Source organism: Homo sapiens, chromosome 5 (genome assembly GCF_000001405.40).
Source record: "Homo sapiens chromosome 5, GRCh38.p14 Primary Assembly".
Taxonomy (NCBI): Eukaryota; Metazoa; Chordata; class Mammalia; order Primates; family Hominidae; genus Homo; species Homo sapiens.
In genome coordinates, this window is record NC_000005.10 from 177,456,301 (window position 1) to 177,479,635 (window position 23,335).

The window sequence follows — 23,335 nt, forward strand, 5'->3', positions numbered from 1 at the left end:
GGCTGCTTTCGCCCAGGGTTCTGTGTGACCAGACAAGCCGGGGCCTTGGCGGGAAGGACCCTCAACGTGCGTTTCCGCCACAACAGAACCTAAGGGTACAGCACTAAGTCTAAGACCAACCCTTCTCCGGTGGTTGTAGGTGCCAAGCGGCTTCCCCTGGGAGCCTTAGCCCCTAGCACCGCCCCCCCACCCCGCCCCCGCCTGGCGGGCCTTGGAATTAGGGTGAGGACGCCCCCTGGTGGCAAGGAGGTGCTGCGGCCTCGGAGGTGGGAGGAGTTGGGAACCTGGGTCAGGGCAGGCGGCAGCCCGAAGGGATCTGGATTTCTTTATTAACAGACATGAGCACGACCCGTTACAGAAGTTTGTGCTTTCCAAAAAAAAAAAAAAAAAAAAAAAAAAAACAGTTACTAAACGTGAAAAAGGAACCCAAGCAAAGAGGAAGGAGTTGGGGAGGGGCCACCAAAGCCCCTGGGCCCCATCCATAGCCCTGACCTGAACCGCGCCTAGGGCCTCCAACCTGGGACCTGCCCGGCAGGAGACGGGGGGTAGCCGAGGGGCCCCAGCTGGGCCTGCTACTTCCTTTGGGCCAGACAGGAAGGGGTCAAAAGAAGGGCGGGGAGGGGGTCCCAGGGAGCCAGAGCCCACGAGCCATTTATTGCCATGTTTTAAAATTCGTGCAAAATATCTGAAGCCCTGGACAGAGAATACAAAGTGATATTTTCCCAAGAAACATAAAACTAGGAAAAGAGGTGGGGGACATTTTCCCACCAGAGCTCCCCCCACGCCAGGCCCCAAGCAGGGTGAGGCCTCCAACCCGGCCAGCTGAGCAGGGAGGACTAAGAGCTACAATCTGGACCAGGGAAGGAGGGGTGGAATTTGCAACAGCGTCTCAACTACCAACGAGAGGAAAGCCAGTCAACTGTACAAGTCTCCTATCAACTTTTTAAAAAAAGAGAAAAGCTGTAAAAGTCAGGCCCTGTGGGTAGGGAAGCGGCCAAGTCCCCAGCCAGGGCCGGAATCCGGAGTGGGTGCCAGGCGGAGCTGCTGCGAATGCAGGCACGGCGGGCCGTCTGGCCAGAGGCTGATGCAGGTGGGCGGCCTTGGCAAGGGTAGCCTAGGGCTGGCGCCACCGCTAATCACCACCCTCGAAGCCCTCCTCCTCTTCTGGAACTGGGTCTGCATCCCAGCATGTGATGTCGATCTCTGTGGCGTTAGAAAGGGAGAGGAGTTAGGGACCTAGCAGACCGCTTGTGTCCCCAGCCTCTGTGAGCGGTGGGTAGTGGTGGGGTGGCTACCCACACTCAAATCCAGCCCCCGCACCCAAATTCCTCCCCATCATCCAGCCCAGTACTACCTGGAGGCTTGTTGTAGAACACAGGAGGCGGAGCCTTGGCACAGAGCTCTTCCGATTGGGCAAACTCCTCCTCCTGTGATTGACTGAAGTACCCCTCACTGGCCTGCAGGGGAAAGCATCAGGTCACTTGGCCCCACCCAGCAGGACTGGGGCTGACCTATCAGGCCTGAGCCCGTTTCCCCAGCAACCAATGATTCCATCAGTGGTTGCCAGGGAAACAAGGATGCCTGCCTTGGGAACAAAAGCAGAGCCGGCCCAGGGAGGGAGGGTGGGATGGACTTCCCCTCAAATAATGTGGGTCACAGAGAAGGGGGTACTGGTGCAAGCATGAGGAATGCAGGGCCAGCACCCTGCTCAGCCCCCACTCCCTCCCATCCCTCCCACCAGGCAGTCCCTGCCGCACCTGGGTCCCCTCCTTCTGGGTGGTCTCGCCATTGGTTAGCAGGTGGGGCTCCGGCTCCTGCTCTTGCTCCAGCTCCTCAAGGGCTGAGGGCAGAGTTGGGGTCTGGGGGGCAGCCAGGGACTCCCCTTCCACTTCCTCTGGGTCACAGAAGGTGGCTGGCGGCTCAGGCAGCTCATCAAAGTTGAGAAGGGTGGCACAGCCTTCGCCTGCTGGCAGCAGTGGCTCCGGAGCCACCTCATCCAGCAGGGGCACCTCTGCCAGGGTGACCTCAGTACCCGAGGGTGGCGTGGGGGCCCTGGGCTCACCCTGGAGTGTGGAGGCCCCTTCCCCGTTGCCAGGCCATAGGTCAATGAGGCTGGTGGCGGCGGGGGGTACGTTGTTGGCAACAGTGGTGTCAGCAGTGGCAGTGTCAGTTTCAATGGTGTCAGCTGCATCGTGGATCTCCGTGGCGTCAGCTGTGGCAGGCTCCACGGGAGCAGCCAGGACAGCCTGCTCTGCAGACTCCATGAACATCAAGTCCTCTGCAGGGCTGCCTGGCCCCCGGGGAGGCGCCTGTGCCTGAGGGGGCTCCTCCATGGGGCCGGCCCAGGCCTGAGGGGCTGCTGCTCTGGTCTCCTCACTGTCTAGGATGGGGCTGGGCTCCTGGGTCTCTGTCACAGCACAGGCAGAGGAGATATGTAACCGGCTCCCCTCGGGGAGGATGGAGACCCTGCCCACCCACTAAGGAGTGAGGGAGCCAGGGACTTCCATGCAGGTGTCCCACTGCCCCCTTACCCAGTGACCCCAGTGACTTTAAGCCCCTTGGCAGCTCCGGGAGGAAGGCCAAGGCCCGATTCCCACTTGAGAGGGCGGGTGCTAAGCTTTAGAGAGGGCAGGTCTGACTGTACACCAGGGCTCCTCCCCACACAGCCGCCTCCAGGGCAGTGCAGTCTTGGTGATGGGTGGCCCAGATCCCTGGAGAACGGTTACCATGGCAACCTGGGGCTCCCAGCCAGGGACTGATGATGGGAGGCCTGGTGCAGGTAGCATCCCTCTCTCACCTTGGGCTGGTGGGGGTGGCGGTGGCAGTGGTGGAGGCTGCGAGGAGGTGACCTCATCCAGGGCCCGCTCTATCTGCTCAGCGACAGGGGTGGAGGCGGTGCTGGAGTCAGACGGGCTCCGCGTGGGGATGGGAGTGGGCGCCATCCTCCGGTGGCTGTCCAGGTGGCTGCCTGTGGAACAAACCCCAGGTGGGTCAGTGAGGGCGGGGGAGCCGGGTGAGACAGGATTGTCCACCTTGGGGCCTGGCCAGCACCTCCTCTCTGGAATCTGGGTGGGGGCTGGGAGCTCTCCAGCCCCACCAGGGGCCAGACTACAGCTCCAGACCCTGTAAGCTAGGCCCCTGGAGGCCAGTGCCCCATAAGGCCAGGGGCAAGAGGCAGGCAGTGCCTGCCCTGGGGGCAAACACCAGAGATCAGCGGTCAGACTGGGGGAGTGAGGGCGGGGGGCTGCTGGGAAGCGGGGCCCTCCTTACCACCCCCGCCGAGGCCTGGGGCTGCTACCTACATGGGAGGGAGGAAGAGAGGTTTGGGGTGCGGTGGCAGGTGATATAGGGAAAGGGAGTCCGTGGAGGGGAGGAGGAGGAAGAGGAGGAGGAGGAAGGCCCACTGTCCGATGCCTTTATGAAAGGGCAGTACGGACGACCTGCCGAGAGAGACAGACAGAGAAAGAGACAGAGGACAAGAGAGGGTCAGTCTCCCCCACCCCTGCCCGAGGCCTCTCCCGCCCCCAGGGCCTGGCCCTGGATGTCCAAGCTGCCTTCAGCCAGGGGCACAATCAGCCAAGCCAGCCGCAGCCTCACACCAGCCCCAGACACACAGCCAGCCTGGGAGCAGTACAGCAGGGACGGCCTGTGGCGGGACCCCAGCATGGGGCAAGCACACTCAGACCAGCAGACAGGGCAGGGAAGAGCTTCAGGAGAGGCGGAAGCAGCACACTGAGAAGCGGAACGGGGACACCTGGGTGCAAGCTCCGGGAGGCTCCCTCAGGCCCGGGGCAAGAGCCCAGCACGCATGCATTCCGGCCTTCCAGGCCAGACCTAATTCACCCCAGCCGAGCTGCTCCCCGTGGCCAGCGCTGTGCCTCAGCCCATGCCAGAGCTGCCCCACAGGCCCTAGCACTCCCCACTGTTCAGCCACAAGCGACTTCACCACCATCCCTGGCCCTTCTTGGGGTCCTGCCACCTGGGAAGTGGTGGGCGGATGCACGCTGGATGAAGGGTCTCGCCTTCTCCAAGGGTTGCTTGGGCAAGGCCTCCCTTCTGAGAGAGTCCCAGAGAGGCTCAGGGCCGCAACCTGAGGAGTGGGGCCGGACGGGGGGTGGGGCCTAGGACTACCTGGTCGATGGTTGAAGGGCGAGGGTACATCACAGCTGCCCGCAGAGGCCGATGCGACTCTTTCCTGCTGCTTGAAGAACTCCCTTGGGTTGTCAGGCCGCTGGGCAATAATAGCTGCTGCCTCCTGAGGGCACGAGGAAAAGGTTGGGGCTGGGCCAGGCAAGCTGAGATAGCCCTGTCTGCCTCACCTGGCTGGTGCCCCCAGCTCTCACCTCCACCTCCGACTCTGACTTCTTCATGTGGGTCTCTTCCTCCTCATCCCGATGGTCACCCTAGAAACCAAAGGGACAGTGTCTGGTGCACCTACCCCCCACAGGGGCTTTTGGCCTTCTTTTTTACTGTATTTTATTTATTGATTTTGTTTTTAAGACAGGTTCTCGCCCTACCACCCAGGCTGGGGAGCAGTGGTACAATCACGGCTCACTGCAGCCTCTGCCTCCTGGGCTCAAGCAATCCTCCCACCTCAGCCTCCCGAGTAGCTGGGACTACAGGTGTGCACCACCATGCCCGGCTAATTTTAATTTTTTGGTAGAGATGGGGTCTCCCTATGTTGCCCAGGCTGGTCTCAAACTTCTGGGCTGAAGGGATCCTCCTGCCTTGGCCTCCCAAAGTGTTGGGATGGATTACAGTCATGAGCCACCAGTGCCCGGCCTTCTGGCCTTCTTTTTTTTTTTTTTTTTTTTTTGAGACGGAGTCTCGCTCTGTCGCCCAGGCTGGAGTGCAGTGGCGGGATCTCGGCTCACTGCAAGCTCCGCCTCCCGGGTTCACGCCATTCTCCTGCCTCAGCCTCCCAAGTAGCTGGGACTACAGGCGCCCGCCACTACGCCCGGCTAATTTTTTGTATTTTTAGTAGAGACAGGGTTTCACCGTTTTAGCCGGGATGGTCTCGATCTCCTGACCTCGTGATCCGCCCGCCTCGGCCTCCCAAAGTGCTGGGATTACAGGCGTGAGCCACCGCGCCCGGCCCCTTCTGGCCTTCTTACAGCCCCCATGCTTCTTTCGCAATCTGGCAGGAAGGGTTTCAGAGGTGGTACCTCTGCCCCGTCAAACCCTGTCACACAGCCCCTCTCTTCCCTCAGGGCCCTCAGCCACCTCATCTCTGACCTGCCAGGCCTCTGGGCACCAGGCTCACTCACTCACTTGCTCATCCCCATATCTAAGCAGGTGCCTAGGGCCCTCCAGAAGTGCTCCTTGTTTTGCAGATAACTTCTTGGACCTCCTACCCTAGTGCCGGGGCCACCATGCTCCCAATGTTGCTGCCTGGACCGTGGCATCATGGTCCAGCCTTCCTCACTGCTACCTGCCTTATTTGCTCTCCATAGGCCCTGAAAGGACCTTTCCAAAATGCGGATCAGACCATGATTTTCCTGAGCTTAAAATCCCTCAGGGGTTCCCATGAGCCACAGCAAGCACTGGCTAAATATGACCCACAGATGGCTTTTGTTTTGCTGGTATGATATTTTTAAACCATGTTCATTAGTTACCACCACTTAAAAACCAGGAACTTTCATACTGAGATGAGGGTCCCAGTTTCTCTTGAGGTGACAGAGCCCTGGCGACATCACCTGCAAGCCCGGAGCAGCCATCACCGGGGCCTCGCCGCAGCCCCCTTAAGACAGGCGTGTGCCACCCGCTCACCCCCGGCCCCACCATCGCCTACTGGCTTCACCTGCCCACTGCACACGTTGTTTTGGGTGGGCAGCGCCCGCACTTGGCCTACGTCCCCCACCCCTGCCTGACCTAGCCGTCACCTCTCCAACACCACCCCCTGCCGGCCCCCACCCCAAGGCTCCCACATACTGTGAGATGTAGACATCAAGTCCTCAGCACGACGCAGTCAGTTCCCAGAACAGGCACACCCGTTCCCACCTCCAAGCCTCAGCATGGGAGACTGGCCTCCCTCCCAAATGCCTGCTCCCCACCCGGGGGCCAGGCCCTCTGGTTTCCAGCTGCAGCGTGGCCACTGCTTCCTGGGGAAGGACCTCTGAACAAGAGGCTTGTTCAGGTCATTTCCTCCTCTGGGTCCCCACAGGGTGCTCCTGGCTTCCACCACGATGACACCACATCCTAAGTTCCTGTTTCCGGAGGCACCTCCCCCCTCCGCTGTGAGCAACGCAGGATGAGGACCGGGGTCTCCGGGTGGGTGGCCAGCACAAGGCGGGCGCATGTTTGCTCAACTGCACTCACACACCAAAGGCTTCTTAGTCGGTGTCCCCTGCTGCTCAGGTGGCAGCTTGGGCAGGAGGGGCTGCTAAGGTGGTGAAGTCCCAGGGCTGCTCTGTTTTTGAGCCTATAATCTAAAATTTTAGCTTATGTCAGGAGCACTGGGAGAAGGGCCCTTCGTAGTATCCCACCTCAGGAGGGCTATCACCTCAGTGATAACTTTGTGACCCCCAGAATGAAGTCTAAACTCCTCCTCTGCCCTTGCTCTCCTTTCCCAATCAAATCTCCCCCACTCCTCAGCCCACGGGGTTCCAGTCAGCCTAGGCTCTTCACCTTCCCATGAGCCTGTGTCCCACCAGCCTTTGCTGCTCTGCCCACTGCCTGCTGTAATCTCAGTTGGTTCCTCTGCCTTGTTCAAAGAAAGGACCAGAGGCAACTACCACAAAGGCTTTTTTTTTTTTAATCTGAGACAGAGTCTTTCACTCAGGCTGGAGTGCAGTGGCGAGATCTCGGCTCACTGCAAGCTCCGCCTCCCGGGTTCACGCCATTCTCCTGCCTCAGCCTCCCGAGTAGCTGGGACTACAGGCGCCCGCCACCACGCTCGGCTAATTTCTTGTATTTTTTAGTAGAGACGGGGTTTCACCATGTTAGCCAGGATGGTCTCGATCTCCTGACCTCATGATCCGCCTGCCTTGGCCTCCCAAAGTGCTGGGATTACAGGCATGAGCCACTGAGCCCAGCCCTCCACAAAGGCTTTAATAAACTACCAACCATGTGAACACTGAAACAAGTAAGGCCCAGAGGGAGGAGAGAGATCAACGCACTAACCACATGGGTCAAAGCCACTGCTGTGCCTAAAGCATTTTCAGATACACGGGAGCTCCCCTGCAGGCCAGGCAAAAAGGGAACTCAGATATGGAACACAATTCGTAACAGGGGAGAGAAAGCAACAGCTCCTTAAGCCAAGAGAAAGCATTTCACAGTGCTAAATCCCAAAGTCTCTCGCATATTCCCTTCCTTAGAGGACCTGAAATTGAAAGGGTACCACACTGACCTGCTAGAATGTCCACTGTCACTCTCACGTGAACTATACTTGAAGGGCCAGATGGGACTATAAAATAATGGTAAGCTCCTTCAGACTTTACCTGAAATGTTGATAACTGGTGAAAATAAATCAGCTCAGGGGGTTCACAACACTATTCTGTCTACCTGCATGTGTGTATGTTTGAAATGTTAGCAAAAAAATAAACTTTATCAGGGCTGGGTGCAGTGCACTTTGGGAGGCCGAGGTGGGAGGATCACCTGAGGTCAGGAGTTTGAGACCAGCCTGGCCAACATGGTGAAACCCTGTCTCTACTAAAAATACAAACATTAGCCGGGCATGGAGCCGTGCACCTGTAATCCCAGCTACTTGGGAGGCTGAGGCAGGAGAATCGCTTGAACCCAGGAGGCAGAGGTTGCAGTGAGCTGAGATGGCGCCATTGCACTCTAGCCTGGGGGACAAGAGTGAGACTTCATCTTAAAAAAGATAAATAAATAAAAATAAATAAATAAATAAATAAACTTTATCAGGCAGGGTGCGGTGGCTCACGCCTGTAATTCCAGGACTTTGGGAGGCCGAGACAGGTGGATCACGAGGTCAGGAGTTCGAGACCAGCCTGACCAACACGGTGAAACCCTGTCTCTACTAAAAATACAAAAATTAGCTGGGCATGGTGGTGCACGCCTGTAATCCCAGCTACTCAGGAGGCTGAGGCAAGAGAATCGCTTGAACCCAGGAGGCAGAGGTTGCAGTGAGCTGAGATTGTGCCATTGCACTCCAGCCTGGGCGACAGAGCAAGACTCTGTCTCAAAAAAATAAAAATAAATAAATAAATAAACTTGGCTGGGTGAGGTGGCTCACACCTGTAATTCCAGCACTTTGGGAGGCCGAGGAGGGCAGATCATGAGGTTAAGAGATCGAGACCATCCTGGCCAACATGGTGAAACCCCATCTCTACTAAAAAGACAATAAATAAATAAATAAATAAATAAATAAATAAATAAATAAATAATAAACTTTATCTGCTGGGTGCGGTGGCTCATGCCTGTAATCCCGGCACTTTGTGAGGCCGGCGGGTGGATCACCTGAGGTCAGGAGTTCAAGATCAGCTTGGCCAACATGGTGAAACCCCATCTCTACTAAAAATACAAAAATTAGCCAGGCGTGGTGGTGGGCGCCTGTAATCCCAGCTACTTGGGAGGCTGAGGCAGGAAAATCACTTAAACCTGGGAGGCAGGCCGGGTGCAGTGGCTCACGCCTGTAATCCCAGCACTTTGGGTGGCTGAGGTGGGCAGATCATGAGGTCAGGAGATCGAGACCACCCTGGCTAACATGGTGAAACCCCGTCTCTACTAAAAATACAAAAAATTAGCCGGACGTGGTGGCGGGCACCTGTAGTCCCAGCTACTTGGAGGCTGAGGCAGGAGAATGGTGTGAACCTGGGAGGCGGAGCTGGCAGTGAGCTGAGATGGCGCCACTGCACTCCGGCCTGGGCGACAGAGCGAGATTCCGTCTCAAAAAAATTTAAAAAATAAAAAAATTTTAAAAAACCTCACTCTGAAAGGATAAATAAAATGTGGTATATCCATACAATGGAATATGATTCAGCCTTCAAAAAGAAGGAAATTCTGATGCATGCTACAACATGGATGAATCTTAAGGACATCATGCTAAGTGAAATAAGCCACACGCAAAAGGACAAACACCGTGCGATTCCACTGATAGGCAGTCTCCAGAGTAGTCAACTTCATAGAGACAGAAAGTGGAATGGTCGTTGCCAGGAGCTGGCGAGTGGGGAAGGGCAGAATTTGTGTTTAATGGATGGTGGTGGTGGTTATCCTACAATGTGAATGAATTTAATGCCGCTTAATGAAATGCAGATTTTAAAATGACTGAAATGGTACATTTTATGTATTTTGCCACAGTTACATACATGTGGCCAGGCGCGGTGGCTCACGTCTATAATCCCAGCACTTTGGGAGGCCGAGGCGGGCAGATCAACCGAGGTCAGGAGTTCAAGACCATCCTGGCCAACATGGTGAAACCCAGTCTCTACAAAAACACAAAAATTAGCTAGGCATGATGGTGTGCGCCTGTAATCCCAGCTACTCAGGAGGCTGAGGCGGGAGAATCGCTTGAACCTGGGAGATGGAGGTTGCAGTGAGCCAAGATCACGCCATTGCATTCTACCCTGGGCGACAGAGTGAGACTCCATCTCAAAAAAAAAAAAAAAAAATACATGAATCAACTTATGAAAAAAAGATCTTACCCAGCTCGTTCTCCACCATGTTCTTTATGTGGCAGGTGGCAGGTGTGTGTTGAATGAATGACTGAGGATGGAGCTTACCAGCCACACATCATCCCCACCCCATCCAAGGGCAGATGTGACTGGAGTGACTTAATGCTGCTGCCTGCAGGACTGTCTTGCCTCCTCTCTCTCAGCCTCCTGTGGGTGACTCCGGAGCCCGTTTGAGTCCCCACAGCCATGCATCTGCCCATTACAGTCCCAATCCAGATGAGTATCAACCCACCTCCCTTCCTGAACTGAGCCATGCTCAGTCCTGAATGACATTAGCTATTTCCAAAATACTAAATTCAAAGCATGGAGATGTGACTCTGCTGTGATTCTCAGGGACCAATCCACAGGACCTACGGGCCATTCCCAATGTGTGGAGATTCAGACAGTACCCCTGGAACAAAGGGGCTGCTCCCAGGGAGATGCTGCTCCCAAGGAGATGGTACACACTGCCTGCAGATGCTCAGCACTGGCCCAGGCTCACCCATGCCGCCTGCCTCACTCCTGTGGCCCCTCAGAGTGCAGAACAGTGTCTAATCGCCGAGAAACCCCAGGGCAGGGGAGGGGGAGCCTGGTCAGTGAGGGTCTGGGTCTAGATGGAGTTTCTCTTCCAATCTAGAGCACAAGCTTCTCCAAAGTAGTCTTTTTCCACGGCCAGAGGCCAGAGCCCCACGTGATGAGGTGCCAGGCCTCATGCTCCATGGCACCCTGTGCCCATGCAGCTCCCCAGAACAGCCACCACTGTCCCTGAGCCACTGATCTCCCCACAAGGCCCAGGAACACAGGGACCATTCTCACTTCCCTGACCCAGAGACCGGGAGCCTTGGCAAAGAACTTACAAAGATAGACTGCTCCTTCAACCGCCTCTTGGCCTCTTCCGCTTCTAAAGTCTGCTGTTTCCTCCTGGAACGATAAGCAGCCAGCACCCGTCAGGGTGCGCCCGGGGGCCCCTGGAGCGCTCCGGGCGGGCAGGCTCACCTGTGCTCCTCGATCTGCTGCTCCCGCTCCCGGTAGCGCCGCTCGCGCTCCTCTTGCTCCTGCCGCTCCTGCTCCATCCGCTCCTGCTCGAACCTGAGCCTCTCATCCAGGGCCTTCTTCCGCTCCTCCTCCTTCCGCAGCTCTTCTTCCTTCTGCAAGCCCCGGTGCGAACAAGGGTAGGCCCCGAGCCTAGGCGCCTGGACCCTGCCCCTCCAGCCCCTCCCTAACCCAGCGCTGGGGGCGGGGCACGTGGCATGGGCCATGCCACTGCAGTGAGGGACTCAGACCTGCCCCATGGGGTCCATGAGGGGTGGCTCAGCCAGGCCGGGCTCAGGGTTCCATACCTTGGCCTGCTCCCAGAACTGCTCTCGGTTAATCCGCTTCATTTCCACAGCTGCATCCGTCTTCTGGTAGGTGGTGCCCTGCAGTGTCGAAGGACCCAGCATAAGCAGGCTGAATGCCCCAGGAACCCCCGACACCTAAAGGGTGAGAGCTAAGAGGGACCGGGCAGGCCAGACTCGGGCACCAGGCCACGCAGGCAGAGCCCACGGGTGCCAAACACACACTAACCACGGGCTCTGCGTTCTCATCCTCTCGCAGCCGCAGTCGGTGCAGCACAGGGCTGGAGAGTCGCGCCAGCCCGTTAGAGAGCCGCTGCCCGATGGCACCCGCGTCTATGTCTTCCACGCTGCTGGCGTTCACGATCACGTCGACACCCTTCCGCAAGAAGACGGCAGTGCTCAGGCGGCACCATCCTCCCGCCATCCCCACCCCAGCACGCAGACCCTGGTGGCTGTCCCCACCCCCAAGAGCGCTGGCCCCTGACACGCACCTGGAAGAACTCCGCCACCTTAGCCACGTGGCTGGCACAAGCGCACTTGCGGGCATCAGGCACATCTTCGCCCACCTGCAAAGTACCCAGCAAAGAGGGGGTCAGGAAAGGACAAGGGGGGCCCTACACGATAGGGTGCATCTTCCCCGGGGTGGGAAGAGGGTGGGCTTCCCTCTCCACGGGTGTCAGAGGGCCGACGGGGAGGGCGACTGCTCTGGGCCTTCAGTTCCCTTCCCCAGCCCCGGCCGCATACCCAGTTGATGAGCAGCTCTGGGCCCTCAGCCCCCTTCCCCAGCCCCGGCCGCATACCCAGTTGATGAGCAGCTCTGGGCCCTCAGCCCCCTTCCCCAGCCCCGGCCGCATACCCAGTTGATGAGCACGTATTTTGGCAGAGCAGCTTGGGAGTCCTTGACACTGCAGAAGCCGTACATCACCTTCTGGTTCTCAAAGTGTCCCGAAAGCTCCTGCAAGCCCCCTTCTAGGGTAATCAGGAGAGTGTCAGGTCTCTCTGCCTCCTAAACCCTTCCCAAAAAGAGCCTGGAACTCAAAGCAAAGACTCCTCCAGGCCTCCACAGGCACCCCCAGGGGTCTTCTGGCCTCTGGGGTCTGTGGGTCCCAGTTTTGTGTTGGTATGTGTGGGGGTGGTGGCGCACAGGGATGTAGCTTTGCCTGTGACTCCTGCAGGGCCTGATTTGGGGGTAGGACTGAGGAAGTGTTTGTTCTTCACACTCAGGTCTCATTCTTCACACATCATCATGTCTCACCAGGTGCCAGTGCCCAGAGGCACAATCAAGCCTTCTGGCTCTGGGGAAGGCGGTGAATAGGGCCCTTCCCCCAAAGTGTCCCAGCTGTGTGGCTTCAGATAAGTCACTTTCCCTGTTGGAGGCTCAGCCTCAGAAGTCCAACATTCAACAAGGCTCTGAGATTCCTCCCCACCCTGGGGACACAGGGATGACTGGAGGAAGGACACCCGCCAGATCCAGACAAGTGTGGGGCTGCAGGGTGCAGGCAGGGAGGTGGCCTACAGCCAGGTGGGTGGGGAAGAAAACAACCAGGAGGAGGGGGTGGAGAAGGCGGCGAGGGAATGGCTGGAATTCCTACCTCCTGATGCTGCAAGCTTGAGGTCATCGGAGCCATCTTCATATGTGTACAGAGCCCTGGGGAGAGGGAGGGGTGGCTGTCAAACTGTCAGGGCCCAGGCCGCCAATTCTGGGTGGGGACGGCTCTGGGGAGGGAGAGGGACATGGAGTGGGTAGGACAGGAACGGGGAGGGCTCCTGCTGTAGCCATGACAACAGGGCCAGGCATCGGTTCAGGCGGGAGCCCAGCAGGGTACTGCTGGAGGCCTGGGTCAGGGGGGCGCAGGCAGTGAGGGGAGAAATTGCTGGCTGGTCGAGCTCAGTGCGCAGCATCCCGGCCCTGGCCCTGGCAGCCTACAACCCAGTGGAGCGGGTGTGTGATGGAGATTCCAAGGCGACGGTTCCTTGGTTACCGTTCCCTGGCTACCAGGATCCTCATCCCCCATTGGCTAGTGCCAGGAACTTACCTGGCACGTGCCTTGGTCCCCGCTGCCCCTCCCCCGGGGAGGGAGGAGGAGAAGAGAGAACCTGGTGCTCCCAACAGCTCTGGGCATCCCCCAGTAACCATGGCAACCCTGCAATTGGCACACGACTGGCCCACCCCAACTGCATTCTCCTTGAACACAAAGGACCCTGGGGACCCGCCCTCAGCCTCAATCTCCGCCTCTCTGAAATGGGGATGAGGTCACTGCAGTCACTCTCGCCCAGACTCTGGCCCCGGGGTGGCCAAGCCTGAGCTCCAGGCCTTCCAGCCCCTAGGCTGCCTCAGTCCTGGCTGAGGCTTCCTGAGACTGCTGGCCTTTCCTTCTGTCTGAGCTCTAACAGAAAGCTGACCTGGTGGCCTTCCTCCTTCCTCCTCCTCCCTAGCTTTGTGTGCCCTGGCTCCTTTTGATAGGCTGCGGTGACAGAGCAACCATTGCACAGAAGGGAAGGCAGAGATGCCTCCTCCATCACCCCATGCAGGCCCAGGCTGAGGACCCTCTGGGAGGGAGGAGAGCCGGGGCCTAGGAGGAAGGGCCTTGTCCCTGAAGTTTGAAAGGGCTCTCAACCCCTTCTCCAAACTCCTATTCCCCAGGTGCCAAGGCAGGAGGCTGGGGCTGTGAGGAGGGGAGGCAGAAAGGGAGGGCAAGGGAGAAGAGAAAGAGGAGGGGAGAAGCAGAGGGAGAAACCAGGAGAGGAGGAAGAAGAGAAAGGACAGAAGTGAAGGGACAAAGGAAATGAAGGCGGGAGGGATGGAGGGGACGTCTCAGGAGGTTGTGGCCAGGGCCAAATGGCCTCAGCCCCTCCCCTTCCTGGATTCCCGGCTTCCTACCTCCAGGAAGGAACACAGGTGGGCTGTGGGGCTGGGAGCTCCTGGTCCAACTGTTACCCCCAGCCCCAGCCTGGCCCTGACAGATGCTTCCAGCACAGCTGGCCCACCACCTGTCCTGCTGCCCTAACCCACCACGGGAACAAAGGGCCCTGGGAGAAGCAGGCTCTGTCTCTCTCCATGCACTGATGAGAAACTAATGCAGAGCCCAGGGACCCTAGTTCCTAGAGACTGCTGTAGACATCAAGCCTCCCTCTGAGAGGACCTGTCTTGGCCTGCCTAGGCTCCCCGGGGTGCCTTCCATCCTCAGCCCCTGGCTCCCCACCTCCGGCCACCTCTTCCTGCTCCAGCCGCAGCTCTCCCCCAGCAGAAACCATACCCCAGTTCAAACCCTCCAGCCTGCCTTTCCATTGGACCACCCTGTCCACACCACACACTTGGGACACACTGGACGGCTCCCTGACCCAAGCAGGGTTCTGGACAGGGCTCACCCTGAAGCCTCTGCCTATGTAGTTCTCTTCACGTGGAAGGCAAGACCTGCTCCTCTACCCCACGCCTATTCCCAGTGGAATGCTTCCGTTCTTCAGAGCCCAGTGCTGGCCCCCAGCAGCCTCTCCTGAGCTGCCCCTCCCAGAGCACCCACCATATCCCAGCAGGAATACAAAGACCAGTGCTTCTCAACCACATCAGAGGCACCCCGAGCCTGGTGGTGCACCAGGTGGAAGCTGGCGAAACCACAGGGAATCAGGATGGGGTAGGCGACCAGGCATCTACACATCTCACCAGCTCCAACTCCTGGAGACAGACACTGCCCCCAGCTGTAAGCCTGGTGAAGGCAGGAACGCTGACTCAGTCAATCAGCACATCCTGCTCTCTGGGTCCTGGGGTCCAGCACACCGCATACCAGAAGTATGTGTGATATTGACACCAACTCAAAAGCCATCTAGCCAGATAAACTGAACTAGCGTGAGGTGGGAGCTGGAATGTGGCAGTTCCAGAGACCCTGGGGTGAGCTGGGATGGGGGGTGAGCTGGGGTGGAGGGTGAGCTGGAGTCGGGGGCTGAGGGCAGGTGGACCCCGCAGGACCATCACTCTCAGGATGGTGGTGCTAGAAAGGCCTTCAGTATCCGAGGTAGTGCTGGGCCCAATCCCTTTTCTTTCCAAGAGGACCAGGAACTTGTGTATGATCACAGTGAGTCATATCACAACCAGGACAACAGTGGCCCTTCCCACCACACAACCTCATTTCCTGGGTCCCCTGCTCCCTGTGCCAGAGTAGTGGTGCACTTCAGAGGCCCTGCCACCTAGGAGTGAACTCCCCCAACCACCCCTCCCCATTGGAGGCAAGGTAAGGGTCGGGGGGCAGACAGCAATTTACCCAAGACACCCCTCCCTCTGGACCTATGTGCAGGGTCTGCCTCTGAGTCTTCAGACCTCACTGCACCCCTGGTTCCATGCTGGGCCCTGGGGTATTCATATTCTCTTGTGTAGAAAGTGATCCTCACACCCCTTTTTCAAAATGTTATCTGGGCCCTTAGTGAACGAATGTGTGCATGTGCGAGGGTACATGTGTGCATCTGTGTGTGTCCCACACACAACCCAGATGGGGGCTGACGCACACCAGTGATGAATAACTCGCTTTGGCCACACGGATGCTGCTGGGGTGGGTGGGGGCAGGCCTGTGTTGAGCAGGATGTGGGGCAACAGGGGTTGTGTGGCCTTGGCAATAGGCCACCAGAGCTCTGCTTTTAGGAGAAAATGGGGTGTTGGTAGACAACACCCCTCCAGGCTGGAGGGCAAAGGAGGTGTTCTGGGGTGAGCTGTGCTTCTCCCCAGGCGGGGCCTTATCCCAAAGCCAGCTCCTTCACCAGGCCAAGCCGGCCACTTGCCCAGAGCTCCTCCCATGATCTCAGCCCCCCTGGGGCAGGGCTGGGACAATGGGTGGGCCGCCTGCCTGCTGAGCCTGTGCCGGCCTCTCCTGTGACTGACCTGCAGGACACGAGAGCTTGTCTCTCGCGTCCATCCCTCCAGGCCTGGCTGCTGGCCAGTGCTGCAGTACCATGCCATGGATGCCCAGCCATCTCATCCTCTCCTCCAGAAGCCCCCAGGTCAGAGTCCCCACCTGGCTGCCCTCCCAGTGTGCGGGTGAGGCCAGCCCAAGCGGGGTCCCTCAGACCTGCCCTCCTCTTTGCCTCAGTTTCCTCAAGAAGAACCTGTTCCCATCTGCCAGCAGGGAGAGGAGGCCTAGGAACCAGATGGGCACCTTCCCTAGAAGAAGAGTATTACGGGGGGGTTAAAGGATTCCAGGATGGGGCTGTGAGGAACCCCTCGGTTTCCTTTTTCCACCACCCTGGGCCGCCAGCCCCAGAGCAGGTGGTCCATCCCCTCCCCCAGCTCAGCGGGAGACAACAGCTGGGGGGCGGGGTGAGGGGCGGCCCAGCTCCTCCCCCATCAGGGACCGAGTGCCCCTTGCTGGGGGCCGGTGGATCTGTTCACCCCTTCAGCCGTCTTTGGGGGCTCCCTCCACACTTGTTCTCCAGAGGGCTTCCTCCCAGGGATCTCAGCTGGCCCCTTAGGCAGCTCGGTGCCCCCCAGCCCAGCTGCCTAGTCCCCGCAGTCCCCTTCAGGTAGGGGAGGAGAGCTCACCCCTGCCTCCTCCGCGACCCGCGGCGGTAAGGGAGTCACTTCGCGGTCGCCATGTGGCAGCAAACATCCTTCCACCTCACTCCAGCCCAGGTTTCGGGGGGAGGGCGGCCCACTCCGAGAGGCCCCCCGGTGGGCGGGGCGCCCGGCCCCCAGCCCGCTCCGCTCCTCCCCCGCCCTCGCTTTCCTTTGTGCTGTGGCCGGGCCGGGCTGAGCCGGGCAGGCTGCGCTGGCTCCGCTAGCTCGGTCCCCGCCCCGTCCCCGCCCGGACCTCGCCCGCTCGAAGGTGGCGAAGGTGCCCTTGGCCGCCCCGTGCACACCTGTCCCCCGGGCCCGGGGGGTAGGGTGGGGGATGGGCTCCCGCAGGGCCACGCGGCCCCGGGCCCCACATCGGGACCCCGCGCCTCCGGGCCGCGTCCGGCCGCCGCTCCCACCGCGCGCCTTGGGCCGCCTCCGGGCGCTCGGGGCCCGGCAGTGCCCCGCCTGGCCCGCCGGCCCCTCCCCCGGCGCGCACAAAGGCAGCCCCTCCCGGCCCTCCCGGCCCGCTGCACCATTTCGGGGTCCCCCTCCCTTCCCGGCGGCGGGGCGGCGGGGCGGGAGAGAAACAAAGGCGCGGCGGCGGCGCGGGGACAAAGGGGCCGGGGGCGGGGGCGGGGGGCTCACCAGTCGGCCGCGCTCTCCTCTCGGATCACCTCCTCGTAAGCCGCCAGCAGCTCCAGGCGGTGGCCGCTGAAGCTGACGCCGGCCATGCTTCGGGCCGGACCGGGCCGAACGGACAGACGCGCGGACGGACGGGCGGACGGAGGAGGAGGGAGGGAAAGAGGGAGTCGCCGCCGCCGCCTCGGAGCCTCTGCAGCGTCGCGAGCCGAGCGAGCCAGCGGCCGGGGGAGGGGAGCCGGCCGGCGGGGGGCGGGGGGCGCTGGCTCCGCCCGGCTCGCTCCCTCCGCTCGCTCGGTCCTAGCGCCGCCCCGGCCCGGCCCAGGGGGAGGCCCGCCCCCCCTTCCCGGCCTGCCCCGGGCGCCCCTCACCCACCGCCCCTGCGCGCCGCTCCAGGGCCAGCCCCACCCACGTCCCGAACCCTCACCTGCCCCGTCCGTAACCTCGGCGCTAGCCCTCCTTCCAGCCCCGAACCCAGTCCCGTCCCCACCTCCCCCCGCCCACCCCCCGTCCCAATCCGGTTCCGCCCCACCCATTGCTTCATTGATCTCCATTCCTGGTGCGTCCCACCTCATGTTAAACCCATTTTCATCCCAACCCAGCTCACACAACACCCCACCCCTGGCCCGTCTCCTTTCCCTGAGAGGTCCTTGCCTAGTCTATCCCATCATATCCACTGTCATCTGCATCCCACCCTCAAATCCACCCCAGTTGCTTTCCCATCCCAGCTTCAGCCCCATGCTTAGCACGTGTCCCCCCCAACATGTGTCACGGCACATCTTCAGTCCAACCCATCCCAGTCTCATCCTGATCCCAGTTCCCAATTCCCAACCACAGCCCCCCATCTCGGCTCCATGACCACTTATTCCAGGCCATTCTCAGCCCCTACCCAGCTCATTATCCCTCCATTCCAGGCCTCTCCTCCCCTCCACGCCTGTGCCCTCTCAGATGGGGCCAGCTAGGAGATCCTTTGCATTCTCTCTCAAGCCTCACGCCTCCCAGAGGAGTCCCAAGTAGAGTTCCGGAAGCAGCATCTAACCCCAGACTCCCACGGCAGGGCTCCTCCAAGGACGCTCAGGGCCAGCCTCTTGGCACCTTTATCTCCTAAAGCTCTAAGCACAGAACGGGAGGGGGCCTCAGAAAAGTACCCCCTGCAAGGGAGTGGACACCATGCCAGGGCCTTCCAGAACTCCGTTCCTTGCTAGGTTGGGACCCTGAAACCGTCCACAGCGCTTAGAAGCCTTTTCCACCACTACAAAGCCTCCAACCTCGACCTCCCTGAGCAAACTTCACCTGGTCCCAACCGCACCGCGGAGGAGGAGGTGGTTCTAGCCAGGCCTCCGAGTTCTGCGTTGGGTAATTGGCTATGCCAAGAGAAGGAGAGCAGGGCTGCCTATGTGGCAGTGTTCCTGGCGCTTTGGAGTTGGGAGAACCCTCTTAAAACTCAAAATACTCACAGGCCCCTGCCTTGGGAAGTCAGTGCCCACTATGTCTAGGGACCACAGGCCATGGCAATTTCTCCATGGCCACCACTAGAGTGAGGCACCCAGGCAGGGACACAGCCAGGCCCTGTGCCCTAGACCAACTGGCCAGTAGGTGTGGTTGGCCTGCCATGGGGATCCCTAAGGGAGTGGGTGACACATGGTGGGGAAGGGAAGTGGGGAGAGCCATGGAGGGACAGAGCTTCAGCCATCCCCCACCCTTAGGCATGAAGAGCCTGATTCTGGTGAGGAGGGAGACCCTGCAGCCGGGGAGGGGCAGCAGATGGCTGGCCATGAGCATCTGTGGCCTCAGCCTCTTCCAGCTTCCTTTGATTTGTCCTAGCTCACAGCTCCTCGCCCCCCCCGCTCCCCTCACCCCCCAGCCTCCTGCACACTCAATTTTGCATCCAAAAAACAGAAGCCCTAAATGCATCTAAGCTCTTCCTTCCTCAAATTCCTGCCTCCCCACCAGCCACCTACAAACTCTCCAGCCACGCCCACTCTCACCTCTTGCCATCAACATTTTTAAATAAACTTTCTATTTTAGAACAGTGTTAGATTTACAGAAAAGTTACAAAGATAGTATAGAGAGTTCCCATACACCCTGCACTCAGTTTTCCCTATTTTCAGGGAAGCAAGGGTGTTCCCTGCTGGCATGCCCTAGAGCCCACTCCCCTGGTCTCCGCACCCGTCACCCTTCCAGGTTATCTTCATCCCCTCATTTCTATAGGATGCAGACAGACATCTGTCCTCTGTCTCCTCCTCCCCGCATTTTCTCTGGCACTGCTCTGGCCAAGGTCACCAGTAACCCCTAACTTGCCAAACTCAGTGGACCCATAGTTCTCAGTTGCCCTGACTGGTGGGAGTGGGTGGCCACTGGTCACTGTCCTCTGAGAACCTGCCTCCTTTCAGCTGCTGTTGCCCCTGAAGCCCACACACTCAGCCTTGGTGGGTGGGAGGCTGGTGGGTTCCTCCTACCAGGACTTCGTGTCTGCCACCCCCAAACCGATCACCCTTCAAGTCACTGACAGGTCGGTCTCTCCCACCCCCAGAGCATGAGCTCCCCCTACACACAGCGGGAGGCTGGGCCAATGACTTCTGGATCCCCAGAGTGGAAAAGATGAGACAAGGGAGGACTGAGATCCAGAAACTGGGCCTTTGCTGTGTGACCTTGGCTGAAACACTTCCCCTCTCTGAGTTTCCTTTTGATAACCTGTTGTGAGAATAAAATGGGACTGGATGGAGGCTTAGAAGGAGAACCCCCTCCCTCCCTCCCTCCTCACAGCCCCACCCTCCTCCCTCCACCCCCACCTTCCTGTTCTGTGCTCCCCCACACCTCTCCGGGAAGGTTTTAGGGCTGAGGGGAGGCTGCAAGACTTTTTCAGCAAGAGCTGGTGGAGTCTTCTCTGGCCTCTTCCAACCTCTGCAAGATCCCACCAAGCACACACACAGATTGCCCCTTGATCATCACAAAGCTCATGGCTGTTCCCAGGTATCTGCCCCCGGCGCCGGGCCAGCCACGTTCATTCACATTAGCTCTGCTCCTGAGGAGTCTATTGCTAATGGTGTGACCTTGAGCTTGGTGCCTGACCTATCTTGAATCACTCATCTTCAACTGTAATATGGGGGTGATAGTGATGGTACCTACCTCCTAGGGTCAGTTTGAGGATTTTCAAAAAGTATCTAGGAAGTGCTTAAAATGAGACCAGGACATAGTAGGTGCTGTCAATGTGTTGATTGTTATTATTAGTTTACAGATGGGAATACTGAGGCCCAGAGAGAGTCAGTGACTTGCCCGGAGACACACAGCTTTGTGTCCCATTCAGACACAAAGTCTGAATGGGAACCCAGGTCTGTCCCAGGTCATTTCGGTACCCCACACACCCTCCCCGCTTCCCCTTGTAGCACCCCTATTTCTGCATGCAGGGGTGAGGTGGGCTGGAGTCTGATCAGAAGTTGCAGATGCTCCAGCTCTGAGGTCTGGGAGTGGAGTCGGGGGCGGGGCCCTGGGCATGAGGGGAGGAAGTGCCATGGACCTCCCTGCCAGGCCTGCTCCGCCTCCCGTTTTCTGGCAGACTTTCCACTTTCAGCTCTAAACAGGAGTATGTCGTCCAAGCCAGGAAGGGTCAGACCCAGTGACTACTTCAGAGACAGACACATGACCCAAGTTAGTCCAATGGGCGTTGGCCCTCGGACTTTCGCTGGCGCCATTAAGAAAGCCTCCCTTGCCGGGAGCGGTGGCTCACGCCTGCAATCCCAGCACTTTGGGAGGCCGAGGCGAGCAGATCACGAGGTCAAGAGCTCAAGATCATCCTGGCCAACATGGTGAAACCCTGTCTCTACTAAAAATACAAAAATTAGCTGGGCCTGGTGTTGCATGCTTGTAGTCCCAGCTACTCAGGAGGCTGAGGCAGGAGAAACGCTTGAATCCGGGAGGCGGAGGTTGCAGTGGGCTGAGATCACACCACTGCACTCCAGCCTGGGCCACAGGGCGAGACGCCATCTCAAAATAAATAAATAAATAAAAAATAAAAGAAAAAAGAAAAGAAAGGCTCCCTCTGTCCGCTGGGGCTGCTGAGCTGGCCAGGTATGGGCCTGGAGCTGCTGGGGGCCATCCTTGCCAACAGTGGGGAGAGCCTTCTGAGAATGAAGCCAGCATTGAGGACAGCAGAGCCGAGAGGTGGAGAGCATGAGAGAGGGTCCCGGTAGCCGCCATGGGTACCTGGATCCAGCCAGGTCTGAAGCCATTCACTTTTTCAGTTCAATTATCCCCGTTTTTGCTTACACTAGCTTGAATTGCAGCTGAGAGGCCTACCTAATCTGCCTCGTACCCAAGTAGTGGTCATTTTGTCAGTGGCAAGAAACTTGGGTGAAATCTCAGTTGATCTTCCAGTACTCCAAAAACCTGAGCGGGAGGGCCCAGGCTGGTCCTGGGGTCCTCACTGGCTCAGAAGTGGCTCCCCCCGCACAATCTCCCAAGTGGCTGGTGCTGGTGTCCTGAGTTCCCCCAGGCTGTCAGTCAGCGAGCTTGTTCTTGTTCCACCATGACCCCCGGAACCCTGGTCCCCTCCCCTCCTTCCTTTAAGGCCTCCGTTGGGAGGGGTTCTTCTTCCAGTCTCAGGGTCAGCTTTGGATTTAGGCAGTCTCAAGTTCAAAGGGCGACCTGTGGCCAGCCCTTTAGCCCAGGGCCTCAGCTCCCTTCCTGTGGCAGGGCCACCTGGAGAGTCTGAGGATGGTGTGTGTACCTTATGTGTGTACCAAGGCCATGTGGGGCCCTGCACTGAGGAGGCAGTGGCAGAATCATGAGGGCCTGCCTCTGTACTCTGGCAAAACAGTTCCTCGCCCTCCACCGCCTCTCTCCCTGCTGATCCAAATGAGCTCAAGCCATTCTGAGCTGGGAAAAACCCCTCCCTTGCCTGCTGCCTCTCCAGTTACCCACTCAGCCCCCTGCCATGGGCTCTGCCCCCTCCAAGGGTGCTAATGGCCTCTCCTGCCTGGCACGAAGACATTTACTTCCCGGTCCCCATGGCCTCCCCCCGCACAGCCTTGCACCCCAGCTTCGGAACACTGTGATCTTTGCAGCTTGTGGTTGCTATTATTATTTTTTTGAGACGGAGTCTCACTCTGTCACCCAGGCTGGAGTGCAGTGGCGCAATCTCAGCGCACCACAACCTCCACCTCCTGGGTTCAAGCAATTCTCCTGCCACAGCCTCCTGAGTAGCTGGGATTACAGGCGCCCGCCACCACGCCTGGCTAATTTTTGTATTTTTAGTAGAGATGAGGTTTCACCATGTTGGCCAGGCTGGTCTTGAACTCCTGACCTCAGGTGATCCACCCATCTCGGCCTTCCAAAGTGCTGGGATTACAGGTGTAAGCCACTGTGCCCAGCTGCTATTATTTGACAGATGGGGAAACCAAGGCTCAAAGAAGGGTTGTGTCTTGCCCGGAGGCACACAGCTGGTGGAGCGGCAAAGTCTGGATGGGAGCCCAGGTGATGGGGGACGCATGAGAGGAGCTGGGGAGTGCTGGTGGGTCAGCAGGGAACACTTTGGCCTTTGATCCTTGGAGTGGCAGTCCAGGCCATTCCATCTGGGTGACTCTGTACAAGTCACTGATCCTCTCTGAGCCTCAGTACCCTCATCTGAAACATGCCTGTAATAATGTGTTCTCAAAGGTGTTATGATGATTAAATGACATGTGATTGCATCATGTTTCCGGCCTACGGAGTGAGGGTGGCTGTTTCAAGGAGGTGCCTGGCACCTGCTCCTGCCCCACTCTAGGCCAGCTCCAGCTCCACGGTTCTGCATTTGCCCCTGCCCTTCACCCCACTCTCTCCTTACGGCCCCCTCCCAACTTCTCCCATCTTCTCCCACCATCCTCCAGCAGATGCCTCCCAGGCCTCTCCCGCCACCCACACCCTGGCCTCTCAGCTGAGCTTGGCGGTCATCTTGGCCCACCACAGCCAAACCTCTTAAAAGAGCTGTCTGCACTCTCTCCTTCCACATCCTCCCCACCCTCCCGCCTTGTTCCTCTTTAACCCTGGCAGCCGCCCCAGCTCGGCTAAACTGATCTGGCAAATGTCACCTTGTTGTGAAATGCCACGAGGGACTCCTCGGCCTTATCTGCCTGGTTGACATTGTCGGCAGCTTCTTGACACGCTCTTGCCCTGTCCAGGCTTCCTTGCCCCTTCCCTGGAGGTTGTTGTCCTCCTGCCCTGGCCGTGCT

At 58.8% G+C, this 23,335-nt stretch overlaps 1 protein-coding gene across 9 annotated transcripts, besides 15 other annotated features; it reads right to left on the reverse strand.

The window, feature by feature from the left end:
* Nucleotides 115–314: a silencer, noted in NCBI's record as "silent region_16692". NCBI's record gives its function as "represses an Ori minimal core promoter by ATAC-STARR-seq in GM12878 lymphoblastoid cells {active_cell/tissue: GM12878}" and the evidence as "EXISTENCE:reporter gene assay evidence [ECO:0000049][PMID:35858748]".
* On the reverse strand, nucleotides 310–17,334 carry DBN1 (drebrin 1). 9 transcript variants are annotated; one of them, NM_001393630.1, is made up of 16 exons: nucleotides 16,476–16,540; nucleotides 15,819–16,097; nucleotides 12,544–12,599; nucleotides 11,808–11,920; nucleotides 11,443–11,517; nucleotides 11,181–11,327; nucleotides 10,955–11,032; nucleotides 10,611–10,762; nucleotides 10,472–10,535; nucleotides 4,344–4,403; nucleotides 4,132–4,255; nucleotides 3,303–3,440; nucleotides 2,798–2,968; nucleotides 1,758–2,407; nucleotides 1,355–1,457; nucleotides 310–1,203 (listed from the first exon to the last, which is right to left on the reverse strand). In NM_001393630.1, exons 2-16 carry the CDS (start codon nucleotides 15,908–15,910, stop codon nucleotides 1,133–1,135), a joined length of 2,094 nt encoding a protein of 697 aa, NP_001380559.1. In that variant the 5' UTR covers nucleotides 15,911–16,097; nucleotides 16,476–16,540; the 3' UTR covers nucleotides 310–1,132. The 9 variants fall into 9 exon arrangements, with proteins under 9 accessions (NP_001380559.1, NP_001351080.2, NP_001350470.2 ...); NM_001364151.2 differs by lacking the exons at nucleotides 15,819–16,097; nucleotides 16,476–16,540 and adding an exon at nucleotides 17,136–17,334 and having other exon boundaries at nucleotides 11,808–11,917; NM_001363541.2 differs by lacking the exons at nucleotides 15,819–16,097; nucleotides 16,476–16,540 and adding an exon at nucleotides 17,136–17,334.
* Nucleotides 867–1,567: an enhancer, noted in NCBI's record as "H3K27ac-H3K4me1 hESC enhancer chr5:176884168-176884868 (GRCh37/hg19 assembly coordinates)". NCBI's record gives its function as "activates a minimal SCP1, AML or CMV promoter by ChIP-STARR-seq in naive H9 embryonic stem cells {active_cell/tissue: H9 hESC(naive)}" and the evidence as "EXISTENCE:reporter gene assay evidence [ECO:0000049][PMID:30033119]".
* Nucleotides 10,800–11,345: an enhancer, noted in NCBI's record as "H3K27ac-H3K4me1 hESC enhancer chr5:176894101-176894646 (GRCh37/hg19 assembly coordinates)". NCBI's record gives its function as "activates a minimal SCP1, AML or CMV promoter by ChIP-STARR-seq in naive H9 embryonic stem cells {active_cell/tissue: H9 hESC(naive)}" and the evidence as "EXISTENCE:reporter gene assay evidence [ECO:0000049][PMID:30033119]".
* Nucleotides 11,892–12,437: an enhancer, noted in NCBI's record as "NANOG-H3K4me1 hESC enhancer chr5:176895193-176895738 (GRCh37/hg19 assembly coordinates)". NCBI's record gives its function as "activates a minimal SCP1, AML or CMV promoter by ChIP-STARR-seq in naive H9 embryonic stem cells {active_cell/tissue: H9 hESC(naive)}" and the evidence as "EXISTENCE:reporter gene assay evidence [ECO:0000049][PMID:30033119]".
* Nucleotides 12,438–12,983: an enhancer, noted in NCBI's record as "NANOG-H3K4me1 hESC enhancer chr5:176895739-176896284 (GRCh37/hg19 assembly coordinates)". NCBI's record gives its function as "activates a minimal SCP1, AML or CMV promoter by ChIP-STARR-seq in naive and primed H9 embryonic stem cells {active_cell/tissue: H9 hESC(naive and primed)}" and the evidence as "EXISTENCE:reporter gene assay evidence [ECO:0000049][PMID:30033119]".
* Nucleotides 14,076–14,621: an enhancer, noted in NCBI's record as "H3K27ac-H3K4me1 hESC enhancer chr5:176897377-176897922 (GRCh37/hg19 assembly coordinates)". NCBI's record gives its function as "activates a minimal SCP1, AML or CMV promoter by ChIP-STARR-seq in naive H9 embryonic stem cells {active_cell/tissue: H9 hESC(naive)}" and the evidence as "EXISTENCE:reporter gene assay evidence [ECO:0000049][PMID:30033119]".
* Nucleotides 16,192–16,695: an enhancer, noted in NCBI's record as "H3K27ac-H3K4me1 hESC enhancer chr5:176899493-176899996 (GRCh37/hg19 assembly coordinates)". NCBI's record gives its function as "activates a minimal SCP1, AML or CMV promoter by ChIP-STARR-seq in naive and primed H9 embryonic stem cells {active_cell/tissue: H9 hESC(naive and primed)}" and the evidence as "EXISTENCE:reporter gene assay evidence [ECO:0000049][PMID:30033119]".
* Nucleotides 16,192–17,511: a biological region, named in NCBI's record as "hESC enhancers GRCh37_chr5:176899493-176899996 and GRCh37_chr5:176899997-176900498".
* Nucleotides 16,346–16,532: a silencer, noted in NCBI's record as "fragment chr5:176899647-176899833 (GRCh37/hg19 assembly coordinates)". NCBI's record gives its function as "represses an EF-1alpha promoter that drives an FKBP-Casp9 reporter gene in an ReSE screen in phorbol 12-myristate 13-acetate-treated (for megakaryocytic differentiation) K562 erythroleukemia cells {active_cell/tissue: K562(+PMA)}" and the evidence as "EXISTENCE:reporter gene assay evidence [ECO:0000049][PMID:32094911]".
* Nucleotides 16,452–16,821: a silencer, noted in NCBI's record as "silent region_16693". NCBI's record gives its function as "represses an Ori minimal core promoter by ATAC-STARR-seq in GM12878 lymphoblastoid cells {active_cell/tissue: GM12878}" and the evidence as "EXISTENCE:reporter gene assay evidence [ECO:0000049][PMID:35858748]".
* Nucleotides 16,696–17,197: an enhancer, noted in NCBI's record as "H3K27ac hESC enhancer chr5:176899997-176900498 (GRCh37/hg19 assembly coordinates)". NCBI's record gives its function as "activates a minimal SCP1, AML or CMV promoter by ChIP-STARR-seq in primed H9 embryonic stem cells {active_cell/tissue: H9 hESC(primed)}" and the evidence as "EXISTENCE:reporter gene assay evidence [ECO:0000049][PMID:30033119]".
* Nucleotides 16,852–17,051: a silencer, noted in NCBI's record as "silent region_16694". NCBI's record gives its function as "represses an Ori minimal core promoter by ATAC-STARR-seq in GM12878 lymphoblastoid cells {active_cell/tissue: GM12878}" and the evidence as "EXISTENCE:reporter gene assay evidence [ECO:0000049][PMID:35858748]".
* Nucleotides 17,132–17,511: a silencer, noted in NCBI's record as "silent region_16695". NCBI's record gives its function as "represses an Ori minimal core promoter by ATAC-STARR-seq in GM12878 lymphoblastoid cells {active_cell/tissue: GM12878}" and the evidence as "EXISTENCE:reporter gene assay evidence [ECO:0000049][PMID:35858748]".
* Nucleotides 17,522–17,571: a silencer, noted in NCBI's record as "silent region_16696". NCBI's record gives its function as "represses an Ori minimal core promoter by ATAC-STARR-seq in GM12878 lymphoblastoid cells {active_cell/tissue: GM12878}" and the evidence as "EXISTENCE:reporter gene assay evidence [ECO:0000049][PMID:35858748]".
* Nucleotides 21,423–21,923: an enhancer, noted in NCBI's record as "H3K4me1 hESC enhancer chr5:176904724-176905224 (GRCh37/hg19 assembly coordinates)". NCBI's record gives its function as "activates a minimal SCP1, AML or CMV promoter by ChIP-STARR-seq in primed H9 embryonic stem cells {active_cell/tissue: H9 hESC(primed)}" and the evidence as "EXISTENCE:reporter gene assay evidence [ECO:0000049][PMID:30033119]".

What these genes read in the sequence shown, in the direction of transcription:
- DBN1 (NM_001393630.1), bottom strand. Translation starts at nt 15,910, where the DNA reads ATGGCTGGGCATCCATGGCATGGTACTGCAGCACTGGCCAGCAGCCAG. An exon ending in CAAGCTTGCAGCATCAGGAG is followed by an intron (nt 11,921 to 12,543) that starts GTAGGAATTCCA and finishes TGATTACCCTAG; the next exon opens with AAGGGGGCTTGCAGGAGCTT. An exon ending in ATGAGAACGCAGAGCCCGTG is followed by an intron (nt 11,033 to 11,180) that starts GTTAGTGTGTGT and finishes TCGACACTGCAG; the next exon opens with GGCACCACCTACCAGAAGAC.